Source organism: Homo sapiens, chromosome 12 (genome assembly GCF_000001405.40).
Source record: "Homo sapiens chromosome 12, GRCh38.p14 Primary Assembly".
Taxonomy (NCBI): domain Eukaryota; kingdom Metazoa; phylum Chordata; class Mammalia; order Primates; family Hominidae; genus Homo; species Homo sapiens.
The window spans coordinates 118106603-118114344 of NC_000012.12; the positions used below are offsets into that span (position 1 = coordinate 118106603).

Consider the following 7742-nt stretch of genomic DNA (forward strand, 5'->3'; position numbering starts at 1 on the left):
ATTGAGATGTTTATGTGTATGCATATCTAAAAGCACAGCACTTAATCCTTTACCTTGTCTATGATGCATAGACCTTTGTTCACGTGTTTGTCTGCTGACCCTCTCCCCACAATTGTCTTGTGACCCTGACACATCCCCCTCTCGGAGAAACACCCACGAATGATCAATAAATACTAAGGGAACTCAGAGGCTGGCGGGATCCTCCATATGCTGAACGCTGGTTCCCCGGGTCCCCTTATTTCTTTCTCTATACTTTGTCTCTGTGTCTTTTTCTTTTCCAAGTCTCTCGTTCCACCTTACGAGAAACACCCACAGGTGTGGAGGGGCAACCCACCCCTTCAGTTAGCCAGGATGGTCTCGATCTCCTGACCTCGTGATCCACCTGCCTCGGCTTCCCAAAGTGCTGGGATTACACGCGTGAGCCACCACACCCGGCCTGGAATTTTTTTTTTTTTTTTTTTTTAGACAGAGTCTCCCTATATCATCCAGGCTGAAGTGCAGTGGTGTAATCATACCTCACTGCAGCCTCAACCTCCTAGGCTTAAGTCAATCCTCCCAGAGTGCTGGAATTACAGGCATGAGCCACTGCACCCAACTTGGTTCTTGCTTTTCATGTTTGACCTTGTGGAGATCCTATACTAACCAGACCTGTTTCCTGTATCCTCAGTACCTGCCAGCTAGTTGCCATTCTAATATACATTTGTTGAGTAAACAAATGAGAATTGATTAGTTTTGATATTGTAGTTCCTCAGCTTTTCTGGCAAACACCTTACATCCTCACCTGCAATAAACAAGCGGTAAATAAAATCAGTAACTGGGCCAGGCAAGGTGGCTCATGCCTATAATCCCAGCACTCAGGAAAGCCAAGGTGGGCAGATCCCTTGAGGTCAGGAGTTCGAGACCAGCCTAGCCAACACAGTGAAACCCCATCTCTACTAAAAATAAAAAATTAGCTGGGCATGGTGGCGCATGCTCGTAATCCCAGCTACTTGAAAGGCTGAGGCAGGAGGGTTGCTGGAACCTGGGAGGTGGAGGTTGTAGTGAGCTGAGATTGTGCCACTGCACTCCAGCCTGGACAACACAGAGAGACACTGCTCAAAATAAATAAATAAATAAATAAATAAATAAATAAATAAATAAATATTTTTAATTAAAAAAATAAAACCAATAACTGGCCAGTTTTCAGCAGAGGGCCTGGAATTCTCCATGGCCTCATGGTGGCTTGCCCAGGGCGGCCTTCCTGACATATTGGCGAGGTCGATGCATAGTTCTAATCTCACTGGACCCTCCCTGCAACCCTTGGACCTAAGGTGCAGTGCCACATACCATCGGTTTTATTTATTTATTTTTGAGATGGAGTCTTGCTCTGTCCCCCAGGCTGGAGTGCAGTGGCATGATTTCCGCTCACTGCAGCCTCCGCCTCCTGGGTTCAAGCCATTCTCCTGCCTCCGTCTCCCAAGTAGCTGGGATTACAGGTTCACGCCACCACACCTGGCTAATTTTTGTATTTTTAGAAGAGATGGGGTTTCACCTTGTTGGCCAGATTGGTCTTGAACTCCTGACCTCAAGTGATCTGCCTGCCTCAGCCTCCCAAAATGCTGGGATTACAGGCGTGAGCCACCACGCCTGGCCGGCCATCCAGTTTTATAAGTGAGCAACCTACAGCTCTGGGAGGTTAACTCTGAGTCACACAGCCGGCTGGCTGGTGGTAAAGCCACGACTGACTGTGTGACTGCAACTCCAGCCCCACAAAGTTGCACATTTGTCACATGTGCAAAGGCTGCCAGGGCTAAGGGGACATGCATCTGAATGCTCTGTGTGTCACTGGATGATCAGACACCAGCCTTCACCTGAGCAGAGCTGGCCTGGAAAACACCACCCTCTTTGTTTTGACTGCAGGGGCTCAAGCCAGCCCTGAGTCAGAAGCTGTGTAAGGAGCTGCCCTGATGTCCACTTGCATTTCAGGTCACTCTGGACAGTAGAAAGTACCCTGCCTAGAACAATGTTCAGTGAGTTGGGAGTTTTGCATGGGGTCCCCAGCAATGTAGGGTCCTTTTAGAGCCCAAGTTTCCCTATCAGCAAAATAGACCTAATATTTATCTCATGGGATGTTGTAAAGATAAACTAGGTTGGGCTTTGAGGCCTAGGCTGGAAGACTTCTTGAGGCCAAGAGCTTGAGACCACCATGGGGCAACATGGCAAGACCCCCATGTCTCAAAAAAAAAAATTTTTTTTTTAATTAGCCAGGGCCAGATGCAGTAGCTCACACCCATAATCTTGGCACTTTGGGAGGCTGAGGCTGGAGGATCACTTGAGCTCAGGAGTTCAAGATCACCCTGAGCAACATAGTGAAACCTTGTCTCTACAGATTTTTTTAACTTAGCCAGGCATAGTGGCACACCTATAGTCCTAGCTACTCAGGAGGCTGAGGTGGGAGGATTGCTTGAGCCCAGGAGGTAGAGGCTGTAGTGAACAATGATCATGCCACTGTACTCCAGCCTGAGCAACAGAGCAAGACCCTGTCTCTGAGAAAATAATAATAAAAATAATTAGGATAAACTGGGTTGACTTGTATGAAGAGACTCAACAAAAATCTAAGGCATGGTTTTGGAGCCTGTCATTTGATATGCCACTGATCCCACAATCCTATCTGGACCTTGGGGCTCAAACACTTCTCTGTCCAGGGTGCTGCATGTATGGGTTTTCCCCTGTCACCCAAGCTGGAGTGCAGTGGTATGAACAGAGCTCACTGCAACCGCCTCCTGGGCCCAAATGATCCTCCCACTTCAGCCCCCAGAGAAGCTGGGACTACAGGCACAGCCACCACACATGGATCATTTTTTTTGTATTTGTATTTGTATTTATTTTATTATTTTATTTTTATTTTTTTGGAGACAGGATCTCACTCTGTCTCCCAGCCTGGAGTGCAGTGGTGCAATCTCAGTTCACTGCAACCTCCACCTCCCAGGTTCAAGCAATTCTCCTGCCTCAGCCTCTGGAGTAGCTGGGACTACAGGCACGTGCCACCACACACAGCTAATTTTTGTATTTTTTTGTTTGTTTGTTTAGTAGAGATGGGACTACAGGCACACACTACTACCTCAGTTAATTATTTTTTGTAGTGATGTGGGGTGGGTCTCACTAATGTTGCCCAGGCTGATCTCAAATTCCTGGGCTCAAGCAATCCTCTTGCCTTGGCTTCCCAAAGTGCTGGGTTTATAAGGCTGAGCCACTGCACCCAGCCTGATTCACTTTTTAATTCAAAAAAACCAATGGAGTATCTCCATCCTCTGTTTTCTAAATGTGTCACTTTTTTTTCCTCATTATTCTTTCACTTTACAGTTTTCTTCTGCATTAAAACAATTTTTTTTTGTTTTTGAGACAGAGTCTCACTCTGTTGCCTAGGCTGGAGTGCAGTGGTGAAATCTCAGCTCGCTGCAACCTCTGCCTCCCGGGTTCAAGCAATTCTTCTGCCTCAGCCTCCCAAGTAGCTGGGACTACAGGCGCCCACCACCATGCCCAGCTAATTTTTGTATTTTTAGTAGAGACAGAGTTTCACCATGTTGGCCAGGCTGGTCTTGACCCCCTGACCTCGTGATCCACCCGCCTCGGCCTCCCAAAGTGCTAGGATTACAGGTGTAAGCCACCACGCCCGGCCCTAAAATAATTTTTAATTGTGGTAACATTAACATAACATAAAATCTATCATCTAGACGATTTTTTTTTTTTTTTTGAGACTGAATCTCACTCTGTCGCCCAGGCTGCAGTGCAATGGCATGATCTCGGCTCCCTGCAACCTCCGCCTCCCAGGTTCAAGCAATTCTCCCTGCGTCAGCCTCCTGAGTAGCTGGGATGACAGGCGCAGACCCCGCACCACACCCGATTAATTTTTGTATTTTTAGTAGAGACGGGGTTTTGCCATGTTAGCCAGGTCTCAAACTCCTGACCTCAGGTGATCGCCCAACTCAGCCTCCCAAAGTGCTGGGACTACAGGCAGGAGTGACCACGCCCAGCTAAGCCCACTTCTTAAAGGGAGGAGAGCAAAGAATTGATGGAAAAATATATGTCTGTGAAAGAACTAATGTAGGCTGGGCACGTTGGCAGATGCCTGTAATCTCAGCACTTCAGGAAGCTAAGGCAGTCATCAGGAGTTCAAAACCAGCCTGGGCAACATGGCTAAACCCTGTCTCTACCAAAAAAAAAAAAAAAAGGGCCAGGCACAGTGGCTCACGCCTGTAATCCCAGCACTTTCGGAGGCTAAGGTGGGTGGATCATGAGGTAGGGAGTTCAAGACCAGCCAGACCAACACAGTAAAACTCTGTTTCTACTAAAGATACAAAAATTAGCCAGACACAGTGGTATGTGCCTGTAATCCCAGCTACTCAGGAGGCTGAGGCAGGAGAATCACTTCAACCCAGGAGGCGGAGGTTGTGGTGAGCTGAGATTGCGCCAATGCACTCCAGCCTGGGCAACAAAGCGAGACTCAGCCAAAAAAAAAAAATTCAAAAATTAATTGGGCATGGTGGTGTGTGCCTGTTGTTCCAGCTACTTGGGAGGCTGAGGCAGGAGGATCGCTTGAGCCCTGGGAAGTGGAGGTTGCTGTGAGCCAAGATCGTGCCTCTGCACTCCAGCCTGGGCAATGGAGCCAGACCTTGTGTCAAAAAAAAAAAAAAAAAATTGATCAGGCCAGGCGTGGTGGCTCACACCTGTAATCCCAGCACTTTGGGAGGCTGAGGTGGGCAGATCACAAAGTCAGGAGTTCAAGACCACACTGACCAATATGGTGAAACCCCGTCTCTACTAAAAATACAAAAATTAGCTGGGCGTGGTGGCACGTGCCTGTAGTCCCAGCTACTCGGGAGGCTGAGGCAGGAGAATTGCTTGAACCCAGGAGGCAGAGGTTGTAGTGAGCTGCGATCGTGCCACTGCACTCCAGCCTGGGTGACAGAGCGAGACTCCATCTCAAAAAAATAAATAGGCCAGGCGCAGTGGCTCAGCCTGTAATCCCAGCACTTTGGGAGGCTGAGGTGGGTGTATCACCTGGGTCAGGAGTTCGAGACCAGCCTGGCCAACATGGTGAAACCCCGTCTCTACTAAGAGTACAAAAATTAGCCGAGCATGGCAGCGGGTGCCTGTAATCCCAGTTACTCAGGAGGCTGAGGCAGGAGAATAGCTTGAACCCAGGAGGCGGAGGTTGCGGTGACCCGAGATTGCGCCACTGCACTCCAGCCTGGGCAACAAGAGCAAGACTCCATCTCAAAAAATAAATAAATAAATATTTTTTATTAGATGATTATTTCTGTGTCTTGTCTAATAAACTTTTGCCTACCTGCAGGTCACAGAGATACGCTACTGTGTTTTTCTAGAATTTGTATGGCTTATTTTATTTTATTTTTTGTAATTTGAGACAGAGGAGTCTGTTGCCAGGCTGGAGTGCAGTGCACAATTTCGGCTCACTACAACTTCCGCCTTCTGGGTTCAAGCGAGTCTCCTGCCTCAGCCTCCCAAGTAGCTGGGACTACAGGCACATGCCACCATGCCCAGATAATTTTTGTATTTTTAGTAGAGACAGGGTTTCACCATGTTGGCCAGAATGGTCTCGATCTCTTGACCTCATGATCTGCCCGCCTCAGCCTCCCAAAGTGCTGGGATTACAGGCGTGAGCCACTGCGCCCGGCCATATGGCTTAAGTTTTATCATTAGGTATGTAATCCTATATAAAATTTTTTTTTTTTGAGATGGAGTTTCACTCTTGTTGCCCAGGCTGGAGCGCAGTGGCGTGATCTCCGCTCACTGCAACCTCCGCCTCCTGGGTTGAAGTGATTCTCCTGCCTCAGCCTCCTGAGTAGCTGGGATTACAGGCATACGCCACCACCCCTGGCTAATTTTTTTTTTTTTTTTTTGAGACGGAGTCTTGCTCTGTCGCCCAGGCCGGAGTGCAATGGCGCGATCTCGGCTCACTGCAACCTCCGCCTCCTAGGTTCAAGTGATTCTCCTGCCTTAGCCTCCCAAGTAGCTGGGATTACAGGCACCCACCACACCCAGCTAATTTTTGTATTTTTAGTAGAGACGAGGTTTCACCATGTTGGCCAGGCTAGTCTCAAACTCCTGACCTCAGGTGATCCGCCTGCCTTGGCCTCCCAAAGTGCTGGGATTACAGGCGTGAGCCACCGCACCCAGCCTAATTTTGTATTTTTAATAGAGATGGGGTTTCACCATGTTGGTCAGGCTGGTCTCAAACTCTTGAACTCAGGTGATCCACCTGCCTCAGTCTCCCAAAGTGCTGGGATTACAGTCATGAGCCGCCACACCTGGCCAAATTATTTTTTTTTGTATGGTGTTATGGTCAGAATATTTGTGTCCCCTCAAAACTCATATGTTGAAATTCAAATCCCTAAGTTAATGGTATTAGCTAGAGGGGCCTTTGGAAGGGGATAAGGTCATGAGTGTGGAACCCTCATGAATGGGATTAGTGCCCTTATGAAAGACACCCAAAGGAGCTTGTTCACTTCTTCCACCATGTGAAGATACAGTGAAAAGACAGCCATCTATGAACCAGAGAGTGGACCCCCACCAGACACCAAGTTTGCCAGCACCTTGATCTTGGACTTCCCAGCCTCCCAAACTGTAAGAAATACATTTATGTTGTTCATAAGCCAATAAATAAATAGATTATTAAAAATTTAAAAATTAGCCAGGCATAGTGGTGCATGCTTGTAGCTCTGACTACTCTGGAAGCTGAATCAGGAGGCTCACTTGAGCCCAGGAGTTCAAGACTTCAGTGAGCCATGATCATACTACCACACTCCAGCCTAGGCAATAGAGTGAGATCCTGTCTCAAAAGACAAAAAACAGTAAGTGAAGCAAACAAACAAGAAAAAATCCAAGCAATTTATAGTGAAATTCTCCTTGAAAGAAAGCCTTTTGGCTGGGCGCGGTGGCTCACACCTGTAATCCCAGCACTTTGGGAGGCTATGGTGGGAGGATCACCTGAGGTCCAGGAGTTCGAGACCAGCCTGGCCAACATGGTGAAACGCTGTCTCTACTAAAAATACAAAAAAATTAGCTGGGCGTGGTGGCGGGTGCCTGTAATCCCAGCTACTCGGGAGGGTGAGGCAGGAGAATCACTTCAACCTGAGAGCCGGAGGTTGCAGTGAGCCAAGAATGCATCATTGTGCTCCAGCCTGGGTGACAAGAGTGAAACTCTGTCTCAAAAAAAAGAAAAAAAAAATAGAGAAAGAAACCCTTTTGTCCACCCCAAACCCCTAGTCTTCTTCCCCAGTGACGAGCTGTCTCACCAACTTCCATAGACTACAGTCTTTACTGTTTACCTAATATGCCCCTGTCGGAATATCATACAGCCATTAACACTTGTGTTTTCCAGTTTTTTTTTTTTTTAGAGAGCTGGGGTCTCACTCTGTTGCCTAGGCTGGAGTGCCACGGCACACTTATCAAACTCCTGGGCTCAAATGATCTTCCCACGTCAGCCTCCTGAGTAGTTGAGACTACAGACCCTCACCACCATGCCTGGCCAATTTTTAAAATTTGTAGAGATGGAGTCTCAGTATGTTGCCCAGGCTGGTCTCAAACTCCTGGGTCAAGCAATAATCTTACCTCAGCCTCCCAAAGTGTTGGGATTACAGGCATGAGCCACTGCGCCTGGCAATTTGTATTTTTAAAGTTTATGTAACAATAAAGATCCCTCTATTGTGATTATCCAGATTTGTAACATTCAGTAAAAG

At 47.6% G+C, this 7742-nt stretch overlaps 1 annotated feature.

Annotated features, from left to right (window-relative positions):
- Window positions 2562-2856: a silencer, noted in NCBI's record as "tiled region #1292; HepG2 Repressive non-DNase unmatched - State 18:Pol2, and K562 Repressive non-DNase unmatched - State 24:Quies". NCBI's record gives its function as "represses a minimal TATA promoter and a strong SV40 promoter by Sharpr-MPRA in HepG2 and K562 cells {active_cell/tissue: HepG2 | K562}" and the evidence as "EXISTENCE:reporter gene assay evidence [ECO:0000049][PMID:27701403]".